At 44.8% G+C, this 27,270-nt stretch overlaps 1 protein-coding gene, 1 long non-coding RNA gene and 1 pseudogene across 38 annotated transcripts in view, besides 4 other annotated features; 1 reads left to right on the top strand and 2 right to left on the bottom strand.

Annotated features, from left to right (window-relative positions):
• SCMH1 (Scm polycomb group protein homolog 1) overlaps positions 1-774 on the bottom strand; it is a 215,105-nt gene extending 214,331 nt beyond the window's left edge. For all 37 annotated transcript variants that reach the window (NR_135092.2, XR_946584.3, XR_007096354.1 and 34 more), the window contains exon 1: positions 527-774. The gene's annotated coding sequence lies outside the window, so the exon portion shown is untranslated. The remainder of the gene's footprint in view (positions 1-526) is intronic.
• Positions 95-644: a silencer, noted in NCBI's record as "silent region_742". NCBI's record gives its function as "represses an Ori minimal core promoter by ATAC-STARR-seq in GM12878 lymphoblastoid cells {active_cell/tissue: GM12878}" and the evidence as "EXISTENCE:reporter gene assay evidence [ECO:0000049][PMID:35858748]".
• Positions 685-1,084: a silencer, noted in NCBI's record as "silent region_743". NCBI's record gives its function as "represses an Ori minimal core promoter by ATAC-STARR-seq in GM12878 lymphoblastoid cells {active_cell/tissue: GM12878}" and the evidence as "EXISTENCE:reporter gene assay evidence [ECO:0000049][PMID:35858748]".
• SCMH1-DT (SCMH1 divergent transcript) lies at positions 826-23,026 on the top strand. The gene is made up of 3 exons (NR_186015.1): positions 826-1,174; positions 19,211-19,341; positions 22,869-23,026. It is a non-coding gene; the product is annotated as an SCMH1 divergent transcript (long non-coding RNA).
• Positions 8,252-8,420: a silencer, noted in NCBI's record as "fragment chr1:41715456-41715624 (GRCh37/hg19 assembly coordinates)". NCBI's record gives its function as "represses an EF-1alpha promoter that drives an FKBP-Casp9 reporter gene in an ReSE screen in phorbol 12-myristate 13-acetate-treated (for megakaryocytic differentiation) K562 erythroleukemia cells {active_cell/tissue: K562(+PMA)}" and the evidence as "EXISTENCE:reporter gene assay evidence [ECO:0000049][PMID:32094911]".
• RPL36AP9 (ribosomal protein L36a pseudogene 9) lies at positions 22,886-23,347 on the bottom strand (annotated as a pseudogene).
• Positions 26,685-26,979: an enhancer, noted in NCBI's record as "tiled region #3563; K562 Activating DNase unmatched - State 12:CtcfO". NCBI's record gives its function as "activates a minimal TATA promoter and a strong SV40 promoter by Sharpr-MPRA in K562 cells {active_cell/tissue: K562}" and the evidence as "EXISTENCE:reporter gene assay evidence [ECO:0000049][PMID:27701403]".

Raw genomic sequence — 27,270 nt, forward strand, 5'->3', positions numbered from 1 at the left:
TCTGCCTTCCCCGAACCGGGACCCGGCCAGCCAGAATCACAGGCATTCCCACCTCTGGCGCCGGAGGGGACCGACTGACCCGCGCAGACGGGGTCGCGCCGCCGCCCGGCCCTCGGCCCCCAGCCAGCCTGCCCCGGCCCACCCGGCCCCGCCGGCCAGACACGGCGACCTATACGGACCGCCCCCACGCCGACCCTCCAAAGGGCCCCCGGCCTTGGGTTTCCCGTGCCGGGGCCCCCGGGCAGTCCTGGCGGCGTCAGGGCCGCGACCGGACCGTGGGCCCCGCCCGCCCGACCGCAGATGCAGAGCCGGCCTCCGGGCTCGGGGCCGGGCTGACACGGCCGAGAAAGGGCCCAGCCCCGCGCGGACCACAGACTGGCAGGCCGGCCAGACAGACGGACAGGCTGACCCCGGCCCGGGGGAGCAGGCGCAGCGGCTGCGCAGGTCCCGCCACCGCCTTCTGGCCCCAGGCGGCCCCTCAGGGCACGAGCTCTTAGGCGGGCGGAGGCGGCCGCGAGGCGCTTACCTGAGGGCGCGGCGGGGGCGCGGGGCGGCTCACTCTCTTCCCGCCGCCATGTTTCCGCTGCGCAGGGAGGGAGCGGAGACGCGGGAAGGGGGCGGGCGGGCGGCTCGGGAGAGCGGCGGGCGGGCGGCGGGGGGCTCCACCGAGCTGGCGGTGGCGGCTGAGGCGGGGGGCGGGGCGGGGGCTCCCCCGGCCCCTCCCCCGCGCCTCCCGCTGCGAGGTGGCGCGCGCCTCGGCCGTTGGGCTCGCGCGGGGGGCGGGGCGGCGCGCTGGAGGAGGGAGGGCGCGCGGGAACCCGGCCCGGCCGTACCCCGCCGGCCTGCCGACCCGGGTCCGGGGGCCCAGTTGGCGCCCGGACCAGCTCTCCGGTCTGCGTCCTGTAGATGGGAAAACTGAGGCCTGAGAGGGCGCGAGGGCGGGGACGAGGCCGAGGACTCGGGTTCGAATCTCGAGGACGCCAGTAGCCCGCTCTGAGGCCGCGTGGGGCTGGTGGAGGAGCCACCGGTCGGGCCCCCAAGACCGGCTGACGTGGGCCTCGCCTCGGGCGACTCCCGCCGGGCTAGTGGCTGGCCGTGTGGTGACCTTGGGCGAGTTACTTCGCACAGCCACCCAGGGGCCTCTTCTCCAACACGATAGCACTGCACCCGGAGGGTAGGTGAGAGATGAGTTGGTGCTTGGATGCCCTAGGGAGTGTCAGCGTCCTCGGTCCTCCCTGTGGTGATCCCTTCAACGAGTACGCACTGAGCCCGTGATGGGCCAGGTACAATGCACAGGCTCATTCTTCCAGGCCCACCAGCCATGTTGGCTACACAATTCTATTTTTGTTTTGTTAGAGATGGAGCCTCACTTTGTCCCCAAGGTCGGAGTGCAGTGGCGCCATCATAGCTCACTGTAACCTCAAATTACTGGGCTCAAGTGATCCTCCTGCGTCAGCCTCCCAAAGCGCTGGGACTACAGGCGTGAGCCACTGCGCCTGGCACACAATTGGTTTAACCACCACATCATTTTAGCAGCTTAGGAAACTGACGTCTTGACTTCTGTTTTGGCTGCTTGAAAATACAGTGCAATATAAATCCCGAGACCTCTGCTGAGCTGGATGTGGAGTGGGTGTGGGCATCATTTAGAACATGGCAATCCTCAGGTCACACAGGAATGTCTTGTTAATGATCCTTCTGTGAACAATGTTCCTTGGAGGGAAGTCCACTTAAGCAAGGCTGGAGCAGCAGATGGGGCAGCTGAGCCTGGATTACTTGCCTTGCCTCTAGAATAGGTCTTAGAGCTTTGGACTGAAGGGGGGCCGCCTCCTTGTATCCTGGTATTGGTGTCAGTATCCGTCTGCCCATTCTTGAGAAATGGAAATGGTCAGAATCTATCCAGGTTCTGATCTGCATCCCTGTTGTCTAATTTAAACTTTCATTCCATGGCGTTTTGGGGAGTACCTGTCTCATGAAGAGCCCTGAGGTTACAAGGATAATTAGAGCCTAAATCTAAGGAGCCCATATTTGGGGAAACTATTATGTCAATAGCTAATGAGAGCACAGTGTTGTAAGTGCTCATATTAGTTTTCTATTCCTGCATAACAAATTGGCACAAATTTTGCAGCTTAAAGCAACACCCATTGATTTACTCACAGTTGTGTAGGTCGGAAAACTGGCATGGTGTGGCTGGGTTTTCTGCTCGTGGTGTCATAGGCTGAAATCAAGATGTCTAGCACCTCCACGAGGGAAAGGTCTGCCCCAGGCTCCTTCGGGCTGTTGGCAGAATTCATGTCCCTGTAGGACTAGGATCCCACAGCTACACTGTTTTGCCAGCTCTCTGTTGGGGACCACTCTCAGGTCCTTGCCACGTGATCCCTTTTATCTCATCAACAGAGAACCTTTCTCATGTCACTCCCTCTCATTCTTTAAATATCTCTGATTTCCCTTCTTCAACCAGTCAGAGAACACTATGAGCTTTTAAAAGACTTGTAATTAGGTCAGACCCACCTAGATAATCTTCCTACTTTAAGATCACCTGTGCCACATCACATACCCTAATCACAGGAGTAAAATTCATCATAGCCACTGTCCCAGGGACTATGCAGAAGGTGTACATGAAGGTTAATCTAGGAAGCTACCTTAGAATTCTGCCTACTACGTCCAGTGAGAAATGTTCTCTTGAACATTTTCTCTATGAATTCCCCTAGCAGTTTGTTCTGTAACTCTGTCCATGGCACCATATATGTTGCCATTATTGGAGTATATTTCTAAACCTCTTTTCTAGGCTGAAAGCGTCTTGAGATCAGGAACCTTATTCACACCTGTAGCCTTAGATAAGGCTTGGCATGAGGGAGATATTCCCACATCTGCTAAAAATAAATAAATATTATGCATATTGTCCTTTGGATTCCTGCTTTTTTTTTTTTTTGAGATGGAGTCTCGCTCTGTCATCCAGTTTGGAGTGCAGTGGCATGATCTCGGCTCACTGCAAGCTCCATCTTCCGGGTTCACGCCATTCTCCTGCCTCAGCCTCCTGAGTAGGTGGGACTACAGGCGCCTGCCACCACGCCCAGCTAATTTTTTGTATTTTTAGTAGAGACAGCGTTTCACCATGTTAGCCAGGATGGTCTCAATCTCCTGACCTTGTGATCCGCCCTCCTTGGCCTCCCAAAGTGCTGGGATTACAGGCGTGAGCCACCACACCCAGCCTCCTGCTTCTTTTTTAGATCCAGCTCAGAACTTCTCTGACACTTCTCAGGAAGAACTCATTTCTCCCTCCTCTCCACTGTCACTTGGTAAAAATCTCTGTGTGAAATGTTTCCCATTGTAGTATTTTAAGTCAGACTGTAGTTTCCTTGAATATAGTACTTTGCTTTTATTCCACTTAATATTCCAGGGCACAGCATAATGTATTAACAGTTCTGTGCTGTTCAATTAAACAACTAATTACACATGGGTGTTATTAGTTGCTTAATGTTTGGATTTTAATAAGGGGGGTTAAAAACCAAGAGGCAACTGGAGAGTGGAATTGGGCTATGACAGACCCTGTGACCTTTGGGTTACAGGTGTGGGGAAGCCAAGAAATACAGAGGCAATGGAGAGGGAAGAAATAGGCAAGTTAATCAGGATGTAATTTTTTTTTAAAGGAGGTATGCTAGGAAACCCCAGGTCTGCTCTTTTCTACATTACATTACAGCAAAAAGGAGTGATTATTCTGGCACTGACAGAACTGACAAAAACAGTAGTTTTTGTTTTGTTTTTTGTTTTTGTTTTTTTTCATGTTGTTGATGACCCAGTAGAAGAGTTGGTAAAGGAAATGGGAAAGATGGTTTCTGATGCTTAAAGAAAGTATGTGTGTTGCGGGGTGTGGGGGGGATGCATTGAAATACATAAGAGCCTTCACCACATTAAGTCCTACACATCAATTAAGACTACCTTCCCCAGGAACTTCCTCTGATACCTTCTCTTCCATCCTCACCCCAGGATAAATTAAATGCCCCTCCTTTCGCTCTCCTTGTAGCCTGGCACCTTCATTCATCATTGCATTTACTAGGATCTGTGCATATCATTTTCATTTATGCTTATCTTTCACCTGACTGTAAGCTCCACAGATTGGAACTCTGTCTTTGTTCTTCATTACATCCACAGCACCTCGCACCATACCTGGAACACATTTGGTGATCAGTCTATATTTATAGAATGAATGTGCACAGTAGGACCCTTTCAGACCCAAGCCACAGACCAAAGAGGCAACCTCCTTATTATCTGCCTTGTGACCACAGGGCCCCACTGGCTGTTCAGATTCAGACATGTGCTGAGCCCAAACCTTGTTGTTTATCTAAGACGCTTCTGCTCTTTCTCCTCTTGTAAAATACAAAGTAAAAATAGTTCCAGGAAGCTGTGTGGTTAAGACATTCCAGTCTCTGAGCTCCTAGATAAAGGCTGTTATTGTTAGGAAGGTGGTCATTAATCCAACCTGCCTTTTCTGTATGCTTTGGTTTCACACCCTTCTAAAGGTACTGATTCTTTGTCCTCAGTTTCCCTTAAGCCTGTCACTAGCCGGTAACTGGAAAAAATAATAACTTTACAGCAGTTGATGTACGAATGATCTAAAGGTATCAGTTGATCACAAGTTTGCTTTATGCTCTGGAATTGTGACTTTAACTTATTCTCAAAGTGCCTTACCAGATGGCTTATATCCTCATCTATAAAATGGAAGAAATGACACCTACCTCACCAGATTATTGAAGACTGAAAGAAAATAAAGTAGAAAGACCTCCTGGCACACAGTAATGGCCAAGAAAACGTCATAGATTGGAATCACAGTTTGGAATCCCCTCACTTTGTTCTGCTATGGCCAGACTTTGGGCTATTGAGTTTGTCCTAGGCATTATATTTTAAAAGAGTGATGTTGACAAATTATGACCCAGAAGCAAATGACCAGATAAGGAATCTGGAAATCAGACTTTATAAGGAGCAGCTGAAAGGAGTTGGGAACATTTAGCCTGCAGAAGAAATAACTACTAATGGGAGTAGAGTGGGGTAGGGCAAGGCCTTAGAAGGGTCTTCAGATAATTGAAGGGCTAACATGTGGAAAAGGATTAGGCCTCAATTCTATTCCACACATATCTATGGAACTCCTATTATGTGCCAGGAACTGGGAATGCAAATAAATGTAAAGTACAATCCGTGTCTTTAAGGATCTCAGTCTACAAGGGACCATGACAATGCAAAAAAGGCTATTACAGAGGACTTTGCAATGTCCTCTGTAATATGGAGAAGGCAGAGGAGGGTTCATTGAGCCCAGAGATACTGGGGAAGACTTCACCAAGAAGGTGACATTTGAGTGGACCTTAAAGGAAAACTAGGACTTTTTTAGGCAGAGAAGGAGGGGAAGGACACATAGGCAGCAAGTACAGCATGAACAAAGACAAAAAGGCATCCTCATGGAAAACCTAGGATGCATCGGAAAAGAAGAGGGAAGTGAGCCTGCAATATTTGACTGGAGCCAGATTGTCAAGGGCCTTGATTATTAGCTAAAGAGCTTGGACTATTTACCTTGAGTGGGTATTGAACTATTTACCTTGAGTGGGTATTGAAGAGCCATCAAAGGCCTTTAAGCAGATTTTTATTTTAAAAGGAAATCTCTAGCACAGCTTGCTGAAAGAGCTACACTGAAGAGAGATAGGAGGCAGGGAAGACAAGGCCTCTCAGCATACCAAAGAGAGTCCATGGACTTGACTCTTCCACTGACCATGGGTAAATTTGGGCACATTATTTAAACTTTCTGAACTATTTTTTTTTTTTTAGTTTGTAAATTGAACATCTACTTTATAGGGATGTTTCAGGAATCAAGTGAGGTAACATATCCAAGACTCTCACATGTGTCTGGTACACAAACGGTGCTCAGTAAGTGAACACCATTCCCTTCCTTCCCTTTCTCTTAATGGACAGAGTAGACAGAGAAACAGAGTTCTACTTGATGATGCTAGCATTCATGGGCAAACAATGGGATAATACTCTTGGGGAAATGAATACATCACTGGACACATTCAAGAAGGGTATTTCTTTGGTAGAAGATGAATTGAACCAGATAAGCCTCTAAAATCTCATTCTTACTCTAAGAGTCTATGATTCTGTCACCTTTAGGTCATAGTATTATGGAGATGGTCAAGAACCTGAGGTTTGATATATATTTGATATATAGTATGATATATACTTAATATATTATATATCAAATATCTTATATATATATATTATGGAGATGGTCAAGAATCTGAGGTTTGACTTTGTTGAAAGCACCAATTGGACCCAAAAGAAATGAATCTTCCTCAAAATGAATATCTGTTACTGAAGTGTACAATTAAAAAGACCTTACCCTAAACAGTCCCTCAGGAGTAACTGTACTACAGGAGAAAGAGAGCTGGGTTTCCAACTTAGAGGCCTGCATTCCGGTGTCAGAAATTAAGGATTTTGCTGTACAGCTTTGGACAGGTCATTCTTCATGTCTTGGCCTACATTCCTCCATCAGGAAGATGTGGAGGTTGGGCCTCTAAGGGGTCTTCTATTACTAACATTTTGGGATTCTGGGAGTCTAAGTTATTGAGATCATGAAATTGTGGATGTAAAAATGTTAGGAGATTTCAAGGGTTCCCACAGCAACTATATCATTCACAGTTTATATATATGTCTCAATTTAACAGCATCAAATCCACCTAAAATATATTTTTTTAAATATGTCACATGCATTGAGAGTGAGACTCATTTGACATTCTTCTTGGAATCAGAACTTCAGAATTCAGTGCATTTCAGGTCCCAGCATTAACTCATCTGCAAATTGGATTAGTTCATATTTCTGGTTGAGAGAGGAGGCACTTTATATAGTATGGCAAAGAAATGAAAACATCAGTCATCTGTCACAGAAGGAAGAGATGGCTCACTTCAGGCCCTAGATGCCACCTCATCTGGAAGTAGACAAAAAGGAAGACTTGGAGCCAGGACAGCCACGTGTTGGTCCACACTATTCCCTTGGAAGATCCTCCTAGCCAGCTCCTGCTCATTCTCTGTTTGAAGTTTTCCCTTTCCTTCTTCTCTGCTCAATAAAACAAGTTCCTCTATTATCTACACTTCCTTAGCATTATAGCATTGATCATAGGGTATGATAATTATTGCCTGTGTTACTATTGATTCTCTACAAATGGATAAGGGGCACAGCATTAACATTTATTGAGCACCTGCAATGTGCCAGGTGTGTATATCATCTTATGTAATCCACACAGCAACCCTTATGGTGTAGGTATTGTTACCCCTCTTTAACTGATGAGACTAAGGTCAGAGAAGTTAAATAACTTGCTCACAATCATATAGCTAGTAAATAACTGAGTCTGGCTTTGAATCAGGTTTTTTTTGTTTCCCAAGCCCCTGTGATTTTGATTGTTCATGCCTTTTTCTTATCTCTGTAACTTGAACTATTAGTATAAGCCCAGCCTTTGGTATACAGTTAGCCCTTGAACAATGTGGGGGTTAGAGGCGCCAACCCCCTGTACAGTCGAAAATTGCATGTAACTTTTGACTCCCCACAAACTTAACTACTAATAGCCTACTATTGACCAGAAGCCTTACTGATAACATAGTCTATTAACACATATTTTGCATATGTATTATATACTGTACTCTTACAATAAAATAAGCTATAGAAAAGAAAATGTTATTAAGAAAATCATATAACAGAGAAAATACATTTACAGTACTATACTGTATTTATCGATACCATAAGTTTACATTGTCTGTTTACAGGGTGAATCATCTGTCTGAAATAGCATGCAACTGCAGCTGCAGACATCAATCTGCAGCACATATCAAGCAATTCAACTTTTTCTTGTAATGTCCCGACTTTTCTCTGCTTCTTGGGAGCACTTCCAGCATCACTAGTGGCACTTTGTATAGGTCCCATGGCGTTATTCAAGATTTATGGTATTGTACTAAACACGATGAAAAATACTTGAGAACTGCAAGAGATCACTTTTTACTGCGATATGCAGTTTACTGGAGAGATGAATGGCTCACATGGAGATGATTAGCGTCACAGGTTGTTTTAAGGGATACTCTTAACAGCTGAGCTCACCACAATGGCTATAGGAGGTGGCTCCAAAATCATTACAGTAGTACCTTATGCACTGCAGTTAACTTCTTGTAGTTATGATTTAATACTGCATCTTTATGTTTGTTTACATTTTTCTCAACTGCAAATGGCACTATGTACATAAGGTCTGTAAATGTTTGTGTGCATAAGTTTTGATAAATTTTATTTATTTTTTATTTTTTGAGACAGGGTCTTTCTCTGTCGCCCAGGCCGACACGCTTGCAGTGGCACAGTCACGGCTCACTGCAGCTTCAATCTCCTGGGCTCAAGTGATCCTCCCACCTCAGCCTCTTGAGTAGATGGGACTACAGGCACGCACCACCATGCCGGGCTAATTTTTTGATTTTTAAATAGAGACAAGGTCTCACTTTGTTGCCCAAGGCTGGTCTTGAACTCCTGGGCTCAAGCGATTCTCTCACCTAGGCCTCCCAGAGTTCTGGGATTACACGTATAAGCCACCATGGTTAACAAATTTTAACTTTTTACAGTAGATTTGTATATATTTTATTGTCATAAGTGATTAAATAGAATTGTTTCTACATATATTTTATGCATTCATGACATAAAACTTTTTCTTAAATTTTTTGATATTTCTAGGCTACGTGGTTTATCTGAGTTTTTTCAAATTGTCTCAAACCTCCAAACAATTTTTCAGTATATTGAAAAAAGTCTGTGTAAAATGGACCCATGCAGTTCAAAACCATGTTGTTCAAGGGTCAACTGTACACAAGTGATTGAATTATTGTTGAATGACAATCCTATTCAATCGATCAGTAAAGATTTACTATATGGAGCAGTGCTGGGGATTGAGCTAGCCTTTCCTTGACTATCAGCTTCTGGGGACATCTGCTTTGAACTAAATACTCTCATTAGCTTTGCTGGTATCTCAGCTCAGCAGGAGAAGCTGTTGATAGTCTCTTGACAGGGCCAGCTGGCATGATAGACTTGTTTAAACCAAATTTGTTTCACATCATTCTAACAACCCTGCTTTAAGGTCCTAATGTCACAGGAGAGACAGAATTCAAAAACAACTGTCATACATATGAAAAGGGCTATACAGAAACTGTACAAGATTCTAAGAGCAAAATGGAGGGAGGGATTAATTCTGCCTACAAGAATTAAGAAAGGTTTCACAGAGAAGGTGGCATTTGAGCTGGGACTCAAAGGATAAGCAGTTTTATTTTTCCATTTGTTTTGTTGGTTTATTTTTAGTTTTTATTTTAGGTTTGGGGATACATGTCAGGGTTTATTACATAGGTAAACACGTGTCATGGGGGTTAGTTGTACATATTATTACATCACCCAGGTATTAAGCTCAATACCCAATAGTTATTTTTCCTGCTTCTCTCCCGCCTCCCACCCTCCCCGCTCAAGTAGACCCTAGTGTCTGTTGTTTTCTTCTTTGTGTTCATAAATTTTTATCATTCAGCTCCCAGTTATAAGTGGAAACATGCAGTGTTTGGTTTTCTATTCCTGCATTAGTTTGCTAAGGATAATAGCCTCCAGCCCCATTCATGTTCCCGCAAAAAAACATGATCTCATTCTTTTTTATGGCTGCATAATATTCAGTGGTGTATATGTACAACATTTTTTAAAATCCAGTCTGTCATTCATGGGCATTTAGGTTGATTTCATGTCTTTGCTATTGTGAACAGTGTTGCAATGAACATTTGCATGTGTATGTCTTTGCATACACATTTGCATGTAGAATGCTTTATATTCCTCTGGGTATATACCCAGTAATGAGATTGCTGGGTCAAATGGTAGTTCTGCTTTTAGCTCTTTAAGGAATTGCTATACTGCTGTCCACAATGGTTGAACTAATTTACACTCCCACCAACAGTGTATAAGGGTTTTCTCTGCAACCTCCCCACCAGCATCTGTTATATTTTTGACTTTTTAATAATAGTCATTCTGACTGGTATGAGATGGTATCTCATTGTGGTTTTGACTTGCATTTTTCTAATGATCAGCGATATTGAGCTTGTTTTCATATGCTTGTTGGCTGCATTATTTCTTCTTTTGAGAAGTGTCTGTTCATGTCTTTTACCCACTTTTTAATGGGGTTGTTTTTCTTTTATAAATTTAAGTTCTTTATACATGCTGGATATTAGACCTTTGTCAGAAGCATAGTTTGCAAATATTTTCTCTCATTCTTTAGGTTGTCTGTCGATAGTTTCTTTTGCTGTGCAGAAGCTCTTATGTTTAATTAGGTTCCATTTGTCCATTTTTGCTTTTGTTGCAATTGCTTTCAATGTCTTTGTTGTGAAATCTTTGCCTGTTCCTACATCCAGGATGGTATTGTCTAGGTTGTCTTCTAGGGTTTTTCTAGTTTTGAATTTTACATTTATGTCTTTAGTTCATCTTGAGTTGATTTTCATATATGGTGTGAGGAAGGGGTCCAGCTTCAATCTTCTGCATATGGCTAGCTAGTTGTCCCAGCACCATTTATTGAATAGGGAGTCTTTTCCCCATTGCTTTTGTCAGCTTTGTCGAAGATCAGATGGTTGTAGATGTGCAGCCTCATTTCTGGGATCTCTGTTCTGTTCCATTGGGCTATGTGCCTGTTTTTGTATCAGTACCATGCTGTTTTGGCCACTGTAGCCTTGTAGTATAGTTTGAAGTTGAGTAATGTGATTCCTCCAGCTTTGTTCTTTTTGCTTAGGATTGCCTTGGCTATTTGGGTTCTTTTTTGGTTCCATATAAATTTTAAAATATTTTTTTTCTAGTTCTGTGAAGAATGTTGTCAGTAGTTTGATAGGAATGGCACTAAATCTGTAAGTTGCTTTGGGCAATATAGCCATTTTAATGATACTGATTCTTCCTATCCATAAGCATGGAATGTTTTTCCATTTGTTTGTGTCTTCTCTGATTTCTTTGAGCAGTGTTTTGTAATTCTCATTGTAGAGATCTTTCACTTCCCTGGTTTGCTGTATTCCCAGGTATTTTGTTTTATTTTTTGTGGCAGTTATAAATGGGATTGCCTTCCTGATCTTGCTGTCAGTTTACTTGGTGGGTGTATAGGAATGCTAGTGATTTTTGTATATTGATTTTGTATCCTGCAGTTTTGCTGAAGTTATTTATCAGCTGAAGGAGCTTTCACAGGCCAAGACTATGAGGTTTTCTAGATATAGAATCATGTTGGCTGGGAGTGGTGGCTCACGCCTGTAATCCCAGCACTTTGGGAGGCTAAGGCGGGTGGATCACGAGGTCAGGAGATCGAGACCATCCTGGCTAACATGGTGAAACCCCGTCTCTACTAAAAATACAAAAAAAATTAGCCAGGTGTGGTGGCGGGCGCCTATAGTCCCAGCTACTCCGGAGGCTGAGGCAGAAGAATGGCGTGAACCCAGGAGGCAGAGCTTGCAGTGAGCCAAGATTGTGCCATTGCACTCCATCCTGGGCAACAGAGCGAGACTCAGTCTCAAAAAAAAAAAAAAAAAAAAAAAAGAAAAAGAATCATGTTGTCTGCAAACAGAGATAGTTTGACTTCCTCTCTTTCTATTTGGATGTCCTTTCTTTCTCTTGCCTGATTGCTTTGACCAGGACTTCCAATACTACGTTGAATAGAAGTGGTGAGAGATGGTATCCTTGTCTTGTGCTGGTTTTCAAGAGGAATGCTTCCAGCTTTTGCCATTCAGGATAATGTTGGCTGTGGATTTGTCATAGATAGCTGTTATTATTTTGATGTTTGTTCCTTCAGTACCTAGTTTATTGAGAGTTTTTAACATAAAGGGACGTTGAATTTTATCAAAAGCCTTTTCTGCATCTATTGAGATAATCATGTGTTTTTTGTCTTTAGTTCTGCTTGTGTGATGAATCATATTTATTGATTTTTGTATGTTGAACCAATCTTGCATCCTGGGAATGAATCTTGCAAGTATTTTGTTGAGTATTTTTGTGTTGATGTTTATCAAGGATGTTGGGCTGAAGTTTTCTTCTTTTGTTGTGTCTCTGCCAGGTTTTGGTATCAAGATGATGCTGGCCTCATAGAATGAGTTGAGAAGTCCTTCCTCTGTAATTTTTTGGAATAGTTTCTGTAGGAATGGTACCAGCTCTTCTTTGTACATCTGATAGAATTCAGTTGTGAATCCACCAGGTCCTGAGGTTTTTTTTTTTCTGGCCGGTAGGCTATTTATTACTGATTCAATTTTGGAACTTGTTATTGGTCTGTTCAGGGAATCAGTTTCTTCCTGGCTCTGTCCTGGGAGGGTGTATGTATCCAGGAATTTATCCATGTCTTCTAGGTTTTCTAGTTTGTATGTATAGAGTTGTTCATAGTAGTTTCTGATGGTTGCTTTTATTTCTGTGGGGTAAGTAGTAACCCCTTTGTCATTTCTAATTATGTTTATTTGGATTTTCTCTCTTTTCTTCTTAATTAGTCTAGCTAGTAGCCTGTTTTATTAATTTTTTCAAAAAACCAATTCCTGGATTCATTGATCTTTTGAATAGCTTTTTATGTCTCGATTTTTTTCAGTTCAGCTCTGATTTTTTGTTATTTCTCATCTTCTGCTAGCTTTGGGGTTGATTTGTTCTTGCCTCTTTAATTTCTTCAATTGTGAAGTTAGATTGTTAACTTGAGATCTTCCTACCTTTTTGATGTGGGCACTTAGTGCTATAAATTTCCCTCTTAACACTGTTTTAGCTGTGTCCCAGAGATTCTGGTATGTTTTATGTTTGTTCTCATTATTTTCAAAGAACTTCTTTATTTCTGCTTTAATTTCATTACTTACCCAAAAGTCATTCAGGATAGGTTGTTTAATTTGTGGTAATTGTATGGTAATTTCCGTGTAATTGAGTGATTTTCATTGTGTTGACTTCTATTTTTATTGCACTGTGGTCTCAGAGTGTGTTTGGTATGATTTCAGTTTTTTTACATTAGTTGAGGACTGTTTAATGTCCAATTATGTGGTCATTTTTGGAGTATGTGCCATGTGACAATTAGAAGAATGTATATTGTGTTGTTTTTGGATGGAGACTTCTGTAAAAGTCTATCGGATCCATTTGGTCCAATGCTGAGTTTAGGTCCTGAATATCTTTGTTAATTTTCTGCCTCGATGATCTAATACTGTCAGTGGAATGTTGAAGTCCCCCACTATTATTTTTTGGGAGTCTATGTCTCTTTGTAGGTGTCTAAGAACTTGCTTTGGCCGGGCGCAGTGGCTCACGCCTGTAATCCCAGCACTTTGGGAGGCCGAGGCGGGCGGATCACGAGGTCAGGAGATCGAGACCATCCCGGCTAAAACGGTGAAACCCCGTCTCTACTAAAAAAAAAATACAAAAAATTAGCCGGGCGTAGTGGCGGGCGCCTGTAGTCCCAGCTACTTGGGAGGCTGAGGCAGGAGAATGGCGTGAACCCGGGAGGCGGAGCTTGCAGTGAGCCGAGATCCCGCCACTGCACTCCAGCCTGGGCGACAGAGCGAGACTCCGTCTCAAAAAAAAAAAAAAAAAAAAAAAAAAGAACTTGCTTTATGAATCTGGGTGCTCCTGCATTGGGGGCATATATATTTAGGATAATTAGGTCTTCTTGTTGAATTGAACCCTTTACCATTATGTAATGCACTTGCTTGTCTTTTTTGATCTTTGTTGGTTTGAAATCTGTTTTGTCTGAAATCAGGATTGTAAACCCTGCTTTTTTATGTTTTCTGTTTCCTTGGTAGATTTTTCTTCATCCCTTTATTAATATTTTGAGCCCATGAGTGTCATTACATGTGAGATGGGTCTCTTGAAGACAGCATACCATTGGGTCTTACTTTTTTTATCCAGCTTGCCACTCTGTGCCTTTTTTTTTTTTTAATCAATGTTGACCAGGCTGGCCTCGAACTTGTAGCCTCACCTCCCCGAGTGCCAGGGCAACCAGCCTGAGCCACAGCAGCTCCCACACTCTGTGCCTTTTAAGTGGGGCATTTAGCCTGTTTACATTCAATGTTCGTATTTATATGTGTGGATTGGATCCTGTCATTGTGCTGTTGGCTGGTCATTATGTTGGCTTATTTGTGTGGTTGCTTTACAGTGACACTGGCTGTGTGTTTAAGTGTGTTTTTGTATTAGCTGGTAGTGGTCTTTCCTTTCTATATTTAGTTCTCCTTTCAGGATCTCTTGTAAGGCAGGTCTGGTGGTAATGAAGTCCCTCAACATTTGCTTATCAGAAAATGATGTTATTTCTCCTTCACTAAGGAAGCTTAGTTTGGCTGGATATGAAATGATTGGTTGAAGTTTTTTTCTTTAAGAATGTTGAATATAGGCCCCCAATCTCCTTTGGCTTGTACGGTTCCAGCTGAGAGGTCTGCTGTTAGCCTGATGGGGATCCCTTTTTAGGTGACCTGCCCATTCTCTCTAGCTGCCTTTAACATTCGTTCTTTCATTCTGACCTTGGAAAATCTGATGATAATGTGTCTTTGGGATGGTCTTCTTGTGTAGAATATTTCAGGAACAAAGTTGGGGAAGTTTTCATGGATGATATTCTGAAATATATTTTCCAAGTTGTTTTTCTTTCTTCCACTCCCTTTCAGGAATGCCAGTGATTCATAGATTTGGCCTCTTTACATAATCCCATACATCTCAGAGGTTTTGTTCATTCCTTTTTATTCTTTTTTCTTTGTTTTTTTCTGTCTGTCTTATTTCAGAGAACCAGTCTTCAAGTTTTGAGATTCTTTCCTCAGCTTGGTTTATTCTGCTGTTAATATTTGTGATTGCATTGTGAAATTCTTGTATTGTGTTATTCAGTTCTGTCAGACTCAGTAGATTCTTTTTTTATACTAGCTATTTTGTTCTTCCGCTCCTGTATCACTTTATTGTTAATTCTTATTTTCCTTGAATTTGGTTTTGCCATATCCTTGTTCCTATTTTTCTTCCTATCCATATTCAGAATTCAATTTCTGTCATTCCAGCCAGTTTGGCCAGGTTAAAAACTCTTGTTGGAGAACTGGTGTGGTCGTATGGAGGACGTATGACACTCTGGCCATTTGAGTTACTGGAGTTTTTGCAATGGTTCTTTCTCATCTCTGCATTGTGAGTGTTCCTTTAACTGCAGTGTAGATTGAGTACAGACAATAGACTTCTTTTCTGGATTTTTCTACTGGGCCAAGGTTTTGCATAGGGTCTTTATTTGAAGCTGACTTCTTGTCTCTGGTTTCAGAGGGGGGTATGTTAGTGAGGTATTTTTGGTGTTGGAGCTTTAGAGTGTGAGCCAGCAGGTGGTAATTGGGATTCTTGGTCAGTTGATAGAATTTTGCTTAGTTGTATGGCTCCCCTATGTTTCCTAACAGTTGCAGCTGTGTTCCCTCTCAGTGCTCTGAAAGTGTGGGTTCCTCTCCTTCTTGAGTGCTGGCTGTAGTTCATGACTTGACACTCCTGGGCTGCCCACTGCAGCTCTGGGGAGATCTCAGTGTTTATGTTCCTTCCCCAGCTTAGAGGCAGCAGAGGAAGAGATCTTAGTAGTAGTGGTGGCCAGGGTCATTTGCTTGTCTCCTAGGGGCTCCACCCCCGGGAGATGCAGGTCAGTAATCACTCAGTGCAGTCAGCCCAAGATGGAGGGTTTGTGCTGTGGGCTCAAGCCAGTGGTTCCCTGATGAGCTGTGGTGGGTGTGTGGGACCTATAGGAGATGGACTGGCCTCATCTCCTTGGGTCAACTACAGCTTGGAGGTATGGATAAGGCACTTAGGGTCTTTGCCCATTCATTAGTCTGAGGGTGGCAAGGGCAGTTCCACTGCAGAGGCATGGTTGAGAGGCTATCAGTTGCCCCTGGAGGCTCTGTGCAGGGAGTTGCTGAGTTGGTTCTGGCTTGATAGCTCTGGCAGGGGGTGGCTGGAGGCCCCCGCCTGGAGAACCTGCCTGGTGAGGAGATATGGGAATAGGCACCCACGTAACACTGTGGCTACATTTCCATAGGGCTGCTGCAGTATGGTTGGGGTCTGCTCCAGTCTCCAGTCGCCTTGGATTTTCCAGAACCAAGAGATGTCACCAGTGAAGGCTGTAAGATAGCAAAGATGGCAGCCTGTCCCTCCCTTTGGGAGCTTTGTCCCAGGGAGGTACAAGCCTGTTGTGGGCCCAAAGGCACCTGTAGGAAGTGGCTGGGGACCCCAGTTGGGAGGTCCTTCCCTGCGAGGAGGAATGGGATCAGGACCTACTTAAGAAAAAGCAGTCTGGCCATGTTTTGGTATAGCAGCTGTGCTGTGCTGGGAATCCATTTCAGCCCCTGGTTGCTTCAGACACTCTGAAGCCCAAAGGCTGGAACAGCTAAGTCACCCAAACATCAAATATGGTGGCCCACCCCTCCCTCTAAGAGCGCAGTCCCAGGGGGAATTCAGATCTCTATTGGCTGGAAAGCTCAGGTAGGGGTGGCTGGAGGCCCCAGTAGGAAGGTCCTACCCACTGAGGAGGAATGGGATGGGGTACCTGCTTAAAGCAACAGTCGGGCTACACTTTGGTAGAGCTGCTGTGCTGTACTGGGGGATCTCTTCCACCCCAGGTTGGCTCAGACTCTCCAAAGCCTAAAGGCTGGAATGGCTAAGATGCCTGAACAGCAAAGATGGCGGCCCACCCCTCCCACGGGGAGCTCCTTCTTAGGGAGATGCAATGCCACTGTTGGTAGCTTGCTGGAATTCCAAGCCAGTGGGTCTTATCTTGTGAGGTGCCATGGAAGTGGGGCCTGCAGGCTGTTTCTGCTCAGCCCCCTGGATTCAGTCTCCTTCCTAGGGGTACGTACAGGAGTTTAACCTCCCACTTTGCTGGAGCTGCAGCTACTTTTGCTGGAAACCCCAAGTATCTTAAGGTTCCAGGGTTTCTATGCATGCCTGAGCAGCTGCTCTGCCAAGACTCCACATAGCTTTGTCAGACAGAAGACTGAAGGCCCTAGTAGTGTGGGTTCATAAGGATATCTCCTGACCCGAGGGTTGCAAATATCTATGGGAGAAGCATGGTTTCCTGGGATCACTCATTCACTCACAGCTTTCCTGGGCGAGGGAGGATCCCTGGGCTCTGTGTTGCTCCCAGGTGGGCCATTGTCCTGTCTTGCTTTTCTTCGTTCTCTGTGGGTCAAGTTGTTTCCTTGATTAATCCCAATGCAAGTACCTGAATGTTTCAGTTGAAGGTGTTGTATTTACTCGCCCCTTCTGTACCTCTCTTTGAGAGCCACTCATACTAGCTGCTTCTAGTTGGCCATCTTGGCCACTCCCCGCTTTGTTTATTTTCTAGGCATAGAAAATGAGGGGCATTCCTGGTGGAGAATATGTAAAGGGAGGGAGGCACCACCAGGAAGCACCAAATAGTTCTCTGTTGACATATGCCACACTTTCACGTAATGTACCCATGTCATCGCTGACATGGCGCCATCATAACAGGGGAGAATGGCAAGAGGTGAGACCAAAAAAAAAAAAAAAAAATTGGTTGGGCCAGGTAGTCAAAGGGCCTTGAATGTCATGCTAAGGATTTGAATTTATTCTGAAGGTATTCTAAGACATTCCAATACCCACTGAGCTACAACTTCAAAGTGCCATCTAACTTTCCAGCTTGTGGCTTCAGAGTCCTGACAATAAGTAGAAATGGAACCAGTAGAGTATGTTGGAAACTGGAAGTCAGAAGGTCTGGATTCTAGTCTGACTTTGCTGTCTGGGTTTCTGTTTTCTTCTAGGTAATGTGAAATGGTGAGACATGATTCCTCAGAGCTCTGTTATCCCACAAGTCTGTGTCTACCAGCCGCACAAGGAAAATCTTTCACGAGGTTCCTCTCAGTTCCTGTGGCAGACAGACTCTTGGGGAAGTTGCTCACCATCCCACCTGCTGATGTCATGGCTTTCTGTAATTCCTTCTGTTTGAGTGGTGGGGGTGGGTGGCTGCAGTGGTGCTGTGACTTGCTTCTCACTGGTAGAATGCAGCAAAGGTGATGAGATAGGTGGGATAGATGGTGCCATGTCAGCGATGACATGGGTATATTATGTGACAGTGTGGGGCCGGGCACGGTGGCTCAAGCATGTAATCCCAGCACTTTGGGGGGCCAAGGTGGGCGGATCAGGAGGTCAGGAGATTGAGAACAACCTAGCTAACACGGTGAAACCCTGTCTCTACTAAAAAATACAAAAAATTAGCCAGGCGTGATGGCAGGCGCCTGTAGTCCCAGCTACTTGGGAGGCTGAGGCAGGAGAATGGCGAGAACCCGGGAGGTGGAGCTTGCAGTGAGCCGAGATGGCGCCACTGCACTCCAGCCTGGGGGACAGAGTGAGACTCCGTCTCGAAAAAAAAAAAAAAAGAAAGCGTGGCACTTGTCTTGCTGAGTCTCCCTATGCCTCTCCATTGGTTTTGAAGAAGCAAGCTGGCATGTGGCAGCCTGCGGATGTTGGGAGGCCACACGGCAAGGAACTGCAGCATCTCTAGGAGCTGAGGGTGGACCCTGACTGGCAGCCAACAACAAACTGAAGCTCTCAAGCCTACCACCATAAGGAATTGAATTCTGCCAATAACCTGAGTGAGCATGGAAGCAGATCCTTTCCCAGCCAAGCCTCAGACAAGGTTCTGGCCCTGGGAAACACCTTGACTGAAGTCTTGTGAGACCATAGGAAGAAGACTTAGCTGAGCCAGTCTCAGATCCTGACCCATAGAACCTGTTAGATACTTAGCATGTGTTGTTTTCAGCCTCTGTGTTTGTGGTAATTTATTATACAATACATACTGTTCCCCACCCTAATACTTGAAACTCCTGACCCCAATCCCTGTGCTCTATTTACAACTCCATGCCACCACTGGGGGAATAATCCCATAATAGTATCTGTGTGTGGGTAGCTTTACCTGTCTGTATCTACACATAGATCTTGTGACAGTAAATTTTATCTATCAACTTGACTGGGCTAAAGGATGCCCTTATAGTTAATTAAACATTATTTCTGGATATGTCTGACTAGCAGAGATTAGCATTTGGATTGGTGGACTGAGTGAAGCAGATGGCCCTCAATGTCATCCAATCCTTGAGGGCCTGAATAGAGCAAAAAAGGCAGATGAAGGTTGATTTTGCTCTTTGCCTGACTGCTTGAGTTGGGACATTGATCTCTTGCGCTTGGTGCTTTGGTTCTTAGGCCTTCAGACCTGAGCTGAAATCTACACCACCGGCTCTCTGACTATCAGGCTTTGGACTATACTTTGGGCTTTCCTGGGTCTCTTACCTGGCAGACAGCAGATTTTGGAACTTTTCAGCCTCCATAATCATGTGAGCAAAAACCTTATAACAAATTATCTATCTATCTATCTATCTATCTATCTATCTATCTATCTATCTACCTATCATCTATCTATCATCTATCTATCTATCTATCTATCTATCTCTCTATCTATCTATCTATCTATCATCTTCTGTTGGTTCCGTTCTCTGGAGAACCCTGACTAATACAATTCATATTCAATCACAGGCCTTTAGGAAGTACTTAATATGTGCTGAGCACATACAGAGATAGGTAAGTCCAGGGTATCTCTGAGGTGCTCACAGTCTGAAGAGGAAAACAGCCCCATGATGCTTGAGCTGTGGAAGGCTCACCTGCAAGGGTGAGCTAGCTGAGGAAATCAATGTGTGTCCTGCACTGTAGAAATCAGTTTGTTTCCCCAGGGTTATTGCATTAGATTCTTATAAACCTCTAAGGTAGATGCCTTTTACAGAGAAGGGAGCTGAGCTCTAGAGAGGTTAAGGAACTTGCCTTAGAGGCAAGTCCACTTAGTGTGGGTCAGATCCAGGATTCTAACCCAGTTCTTCTGATTTCAACTTAGTTGGATAATTAAAATTGACTATATATTTCCTTTGTGTTAACAGATTCTACTGGAACTTCTAGCAGGCAAACTCACCTAGTGCTCTCTGGAAGGTGATGTGGGTGGAACTCTGTCTGATTCCAATGTCTAGATGCCAATGAGCTCTCCACCATCACCCCAGAGACAGGGGAAAGAAGATATAAGTAGACCTGGGCCTGTCTTCATTCACTCTCAGTGAGCACACGGCAGGCATTCAAGAAATATAGAGGCTGAATTACATTTTTTTTGAGGGTCTAAACTTTGCCCTCTGTGACTAGGTGTCATTTGATATGGCAATGAGAATACAGAGCAGAGATACTCAAACTCAGGAACCAAAAGAATCATCTGAAGATAACTGTTAAAATGCAGATTCTAGGGTCCTCCCTCCAGAGATTCCGATTCAGTGGGGCCCAGGAGACATTTTCAATTATACCCTCAGATTATTCTGACACAAGTCAATCACAGAGCACATGGCTACTTGTGACAAAATCACAGCCAAGCTAGGTTGAGATAGTTTGCCTAGACTCTGATGTGGGTTGTTCCCAAACATCCCCACTAATGTTTATAATTCCTTTTCCTTATGGGAGGGAGAGGCCAGTGATGTGTTGGCAAATGTTTAATAACTGGATCTCTGGTGGAAAAGAAAAAAAATCCCTGATTTGCAGCATTTGCCAATACCCATGGTGTAAATACTCTCACCGTGGCTGATAGCAAGCTACCAACAGTAGCTTGTTAAGACTGAATTGGGAAGAGATGCACATCATTGGCCTTTGCAGGTCAGTAGGAGTCAGCTCCAGCAATCATTGGAGGGAGGCTGAATAGGAGAGGAGAGGACTTACCTCCCTGGGCCTCAGTTTTCCCACTTATAAAATGAGAATTCATGAAGGTTCTGATCTGTGACTCGAGACTAATTTTAGGCCTTAGCTCAGGGGCCATGTGGCCAAAGGAGGTGGTCAGGTTGCCAGGGCACTCAGGGATGAGGAGGCAGAGTGGGTCAGCTCTGCTTCCTCCTCCCTTCTTGGAGAGGGTGGAGGAGCCCACAACCGGGTGAACAGAGGAGGGGCCTTGGAGTTGGTCCTGCCTCAAATCTTGAACCAGATGCTTACTAAATTTCTGAGAGCCTGTTTCCCTATCTATAAACTGGGAAAATACTACTGTACCTACCCCATAGAGTGGTTACAAGAATTAAATGAGACAAAGTCTGGCATGTGGTAAGGTTTCTGTAAACATTAATCTTTCTTCTTGTGACCATTTCTTCCCCTGCCCATGACATTTATTTCCCAAATTCTGCCAGAGCCTGGTTAGACCAGTGGGCCAATTTCATTCATAAGCAGAGTAGTAGGTCACCCATCACTGTGCAATTTGAGGTAAAGGTCCTTCAGGCAAAAAATTATATGTGTATACACACACACACACACACAGATATGTGTACATATATTCTCCCACTGGTCTGTCATAGACTCTGAACTTCCACTATTTAAATCTTTATCAATGCTCCATAGCAAAAGACCACCAGGAACACACCCGTAGTCAAAGTTGGTATTACTACATGCTGCACAAAGGACATAACACACCTTGGAGACCATGGGGCAGCTCAGAAAGAGAGTACCAGGAGAGTTTTTCTCTGGGCCAGGTGCTGTCAGGGAGCAGTGGCAATTCAGTGATTAGGCATTTTAATTATTTTTATCTAAGAGGGGGACGAATGGAATGTGGCTAAGGCTGTCATTGGTAAAGAAATCACCACACTCATGTTGACCAGGAGAGGGGGCTGTTTGGTAGTTTTAACGATTTTGCAGTGTTCTTTTTTTTTCGGTTGTTGTTGTTGTTGTTGTTTTGTTTTGTTTTGAGATGGAGTCTCGCTCTGTCGCCCAGGGTGGAGTGCAGTGGCACAATCTTAGCTCACTGCAATCTCTGCCTCCTGGGTTCAAGTGATTCTCCTGCCTCAGCCTCCCAAATAACTGGGATTATAGGCATCCACCACCACACCCGGCTAATTTTTGTATTTTTAGTAGAGATGGGGTTTCACCATGTTGGCCAGGCTGTTCTTGAACTCCTGACCTCAAGTGATCCCCCTACTTCGGCTTCCCAAAGTGCTGGGATTACATACGTGAGCCACCACGCCTGGCCAGGTTTTTCTCTGTATTCAGACATGGTGTGGAGTGATCTTTTTTTGGTCTTGCTGCCTGTCTTATGATTATAGAGGCTTTGCCTGGTGTCAGTGTTCTGGGAACATGCTTATGTTCAGCAGGAGAATGCCAGGGCCTTGCTGTGAGTGCCAAGCCAGGACACTGCTGATGCTGATGGGGCTGCTGTTTTCTTTCTTGTCTTATTCATTTGCAAAACCTTTACTGATGACTTTTACCACAGTCACACATATTATCTCATTTAAACCTCACAGCAACTCTGTGAGGGATTGTTATCTCCATTTTATGGATGAGGAAGCTGACTCTGAGAGATGACTTTCCAAATTCATCCAACTGGAAGAAAAAGGAAGTCTCTGGGGACTTGAATCCAGAACTGTCCAGCTCCAAGTCCAGGGCTCACTCTATTAAGCCACTCCATGAGGAATGAGTCCCTAAGGAGGCCACAGAAGGCCCTAAGCCCTCTTTTGTTCTCTGGAAGAGAGTGCCATTTCTTGGCCCTTCCCAAGGCCTTGACAACTGAAGGTGAGTGTGGGCCCGCCGGCCAGGCACACTGGCTACACAAGGCTGACTTTCCACTGGCACTGTGGTTTGGCATAGGTGAGAAGGCGGGCAGTAACTCATGTGACCTGTACAAGTCATTCCCCACCTCGGCCCTCAGTTTCTGCTTCCAACGACCTAAGAGCCCCTGAACTCAGGAAATCTGTGAATAAATATTTGTTGAATGCATGAGTAAAATGCACGAATGAATGGGAGTCTAACCAGAAGTGGATTTTCCAGTCACTATTTTGTTGTGTTTTTCTCTTTTTTTCCTTAGTTCCCAGAAGAACCACAAAGCATAAATTTCCCCAAAAGGGGAATTTTGTTGATGGCTTTAGTCTATTCCCTCCTAAAAGACCAGCTACAACCAAATGAAGTGAACATAACCTCAAGGGTGTATTGTCTTCATAATAAAAGATGAAGCTTAGAACTGGATCACTTGGCCCTTTCTCTTCTGACATCCTCCCAGTTGAAAAGGCCTGCATCTCCTAATAGCCTGCCAGCATTCTCTTAGATCTGCAGTTGGGCTCAAAACACCCAAGCCTCTGCACAATGTTCTTTGTAATTTCAGTCTTTTCCCTGAAAAGTTGGCCTAGTAGCCATACTGCTTCCTGTCATAATGCTGCCTTCCCCGGGCATACAGAAGACCCTTGCCCTTCTTATATTGTGTCACTTTGTGGGGTTGGTGCTTGCTACAATTCTTATAGAAAGTCTGGTGAGTTTTAGGAACGTTCACCATGTTTGTGGGAGTGCTATAACTACCTTTGTTGTGTTTTTCTGTCTTTTTCTTCTTTCTGATGTGCTGGTTCCTTGCTTTTCCCTTCCTCCCTTGGTTCCTATCTGAGCTGCTTTTTTTTTTTTTTTTTTGAGACGGAGTCTCGCTCTGTTGCCCAGGCTGGAGTGCAGTGGTGCAATCTCGGCTCACTGCAACCTCCGCCTCCCGGGTTCAAGTGATTCTCCTCCCTCAGCCTCCCGAGTAGCTGGGACTACAGGTGTGTGCCCCCACGCCTGGCTAATTTTTTGTATTTTTAGTAGAGACAGGGTTTCACCATGTTAGCCAGGCTGGTCTCGAACTCTTGATCTCAGGCAATCCACCTGCCTCGGCCTCCCAAAGTGCTGGGATTACAGACATGAGCCACCACGCCCGGCCTCTGAGCTGCTCTTTCAGTCCTTCCTCTACTGTTTCTGGGGGCCCTGGACTCTCCCGGCCCAGTGGCCTAGGAATTTGCTGCTGACATAGCTGCATGTCTGGCAGCTCTGAGTCCAGCAAGCAGCTGCTTCTGTGCCGGCCACAGTGTGCTGGCCATCGCCCACCACCATACCCAGTAACCTCCCCCAGAGGCTCCATCTCATCCTGCCCAAATTGCTGAGCCAGGACTCCCTTGGGGTCATTAGTGTAGAGGGGCTGGGGCTTGCCCTACTTAGAAATGGCACAGTCCAACCCCCTCAGGTCCAAAGAGGGGACACAATATACCCATAGTCACACAGCAATTTAGCATGATGATAAACAGAACCCAGGCATTCTGATTGGTTGGTACACTTCCCTTATCTTCTGGGATAGGTCTGCTTTTATTTGGAGTCTGTACATTGTAGTATATTTAGTATGTTGATTCCACACGTTTGTTGACCAGACTCCTGTGCTGCGTTCTGGAGATAGGAAGAATAAAAAACCATCTGTGCTTTTAGGGAATTCTAGTCAAGTTGGGGAGATAAATAAATTGACAATTACATTGTAAGTGCTCCGACAGCTAACCAGACAAAATGCTGCAGGAGGACAGGAAGGGAGCAAGGAACTGCCAGGAATGGGGAGAAGGTCATGATGTTTGAATTGGGTCTTGAGGATGGGTAGGAGTTTACCCAGCAGAAAGAGCATGGTTGTGGGTAGGAAGAGCATTGCAGTCAAGGTTAACTACTTACCTGTAGAAAAGTGTGGTGCTATTGTAGAGCAATGTTAGATGTCTCCACATCTAGCAGTGATGTGAGGAAAAAGGCCTGTTATGGAATAAGAAGGACCTAGGTTCTGGTTTCAATTCTGTCACAGAGTCACTGAAAACCTTTAAGCAAACCACTCAGTCCAATTGTGTCTCAATTACCTCATCTCTCCAGGAGGATGCTCTCAAAGCCAAATATCTCAGAGCTGCTCTATCCGATAGAATAGCCAGTAGCCACAACGGTCTATGTAAATTTAAATTAACTAAAAGTAAATACATTTAAAATTCTGTTCCTCAATTGCACTAGCCATGTTTCCAGTGCTCAGAAGCTACTGGTGACTAGTGGCTGCAATATTGGACAGCACAGATATTGAATACCTCCATCACCCTAGAAAGTCCTGCTGGGCTGGGCTGGGCTGGGCTGCCCTAGAGGCCTGTGATTCTCAGAGGAGAAGGGATTTGTCCCATCACCTAGCAAGGTCTCCAGGCTCCCCACTTACCCGTTTAGGAAGATATCCCAAGGAACAGGATAGAGAGGATGCACCATTCCACTGCCCAACCTCAGTTCCTGAAGTACAGTGACCCAAATCAGAGGGCAGGGGTCCCTTGTCCCTTTGTCAGTGCACACTATACTCTGATTTCGCTGTGTGAAAGCTTATCACAGTGCCGGGCCCATAATAGCAGCTTTCATAAATAGCCAGTCCAATTCCCAGTTTTGCAAGTGAGAAAACTGAGGCTCAGAGTGGCCTGGTTTAGGATCCAAGTCTTAGAAATTTCCAGGATATCTTGAATGATGGAATTTAGGAGAACACAATGGTCTTTGATCCTCATTTTGGCTTAAGACTTTCAGGTTTTATTTATGTTGTAATCCAGATGATACTATGTGGAATCAAACACATGACCTTATCTGTGGCTAGATGCATGACTGTCCAGGAGCTTGCAGGAATTAACCAGTGGCCAACCTTGTAATGCACAAGACTTTTATGTTACCTGAAACAAATAGAATTAGGTAGCAGGTAGAATTTTTATTTTTATTTATTTATTTGTTTATTTATTTTTTGAGACAGAGTCTCACTCTGTCACCCAGGCTGGAGTGCAGTGGTGTGATCTCAGCTCAGTGCAACCTCCGCCTCCTGGGTTCAAGTGAGCTCATGCCTCAGCCTCCCAAGTAGCTGGGACCACAGGTGCGTGCCACCACACCCAGTTAATTTTTGTATTTTTAGTAGGGGCGGGGTTTCACCATATTGATCAGGCTGGTCTTGAACTCTTGACCTCAAGTTATCTGTCCTCTTTGGCCTCCCAAAGTGCTGGGATTACAGGAGTGAGCCACCACGCCCAGCCAGAATCAATATTTTTGAAAAATGAACACAAATGTATTACCTACCATGTACCAAGCACAGTTTTAAGAGGGTCTAGTAGATAACTGAGCAACACTATGAGGTACAGATGATTACTCTCATCATCCTCATTTTCCAGACAAGGAAACGGAGGCTGAGATAAATAACTTGCTGAAGGCCTCATAGCTATTGTGAAGCCTGGACTCACCCAAGCAGTGGCCTCAGAGCCCACAATCTTAACCCCTTTCTAGAGCCCTCTCCTCAACTTTGCAATTGTTGAACATCAGGACCTGAGGGAAACTTTGGGATCACCTAGTCTAATCCCTTTCCTTTCCTCATGCGGTACTGAAGGCCACAGAGTGACCCAGATCCAGCCAAGGTTATTCAGCAAGTTGTAAAAGACAGAGCTTGAATCTGAGTCCTGAGGGTGGGTCCCCTGGCTCCTGTTCAGTTATTTTTGCTCACTTCTTTTAAAAAGCCTAAAAAATGAAATGATCCACTGAGCATCTTCTGGGTACCCACATTGTGCTGGATGTTTTTGTGGAAAAAAACCTTGGGTTTACATTGAGAAGTCCTGGAATCAAATCTTACCTCAATTGCTTGCCCAGTGACCTTAAGCAAGTCACTTTCTATGTCTTGGCCTCAGTTTCTCCAGAAAAGGAATAAGGATATAATTGCCTTAAGGATTATGTCAGAATGAGTGGCACAAAGTAATTACTCAAGTAAAAGGAATGGACGCTGAAGACACAGGCCGTGTGCCCTCTACAATCTGGATGTGGAGGTGAGACTGACATGCAGAGGAGGATCAGAGGAGAGCAGAGAGCATGCTTTGTTGGCAGGTCAGACGATGAATGTTAGGACACTTCATGCACTGTTGGCTCCATCTGGCAATGGAGGTGATTCAGGATCAAGAAATCATCCAGGGAAAGGCTGGCCTGCAAGAACCCAGACTGGACACGAGGTGGCGCTGGTGGCCCACCTGGGAACAGGCAGAGACCGGCGACCAGCCCCGGGGAATCTGATCCTGGCAGTTTCATTCTTTTTGCTTCTAGGCATGAAGTCTACATGAGGGACCCTGGTGGGCTGAGGATGAGGGCGCTCTGCCCCACCAAAGGATAAATGGGAATTTTACACTCCTTATCTCATTTAGTCTTCACAGCCACCTTTTCAGGTATTCAGTTTTACACACAGGACACTGTGACTCAAAAGATGTTAAATAATTTCCTCAAGGGATACTATTGAGAAGTAGATCCAGGCCCACTGATTCTAAATCCCATGCTCTTTCCAGGAAAATATGCTCCTCCCAGCCAGTGGAATCAGTCTATCAACAGAGGCTAAACAGGATGTAAGGGAGATCGTACCAGAAAATAGAAGACCAGATTAAAACTGCCTCCTCCTCATGGCCTTCCTA

This window comes from Homo sapiens, chromosome 1 (genome assembly GCF_000001405.40).
Source record: "Homo sapiens chromosome 1, GRCh38.p14 Primary Assembly".
In the NCBI taxonomy this organism is placed as follows: domain Eukaryota; kingdom Metazoa; phylum Chordata; class Mammalia; order Primates; family Hominidae; genus Homo; species Homo sapiens.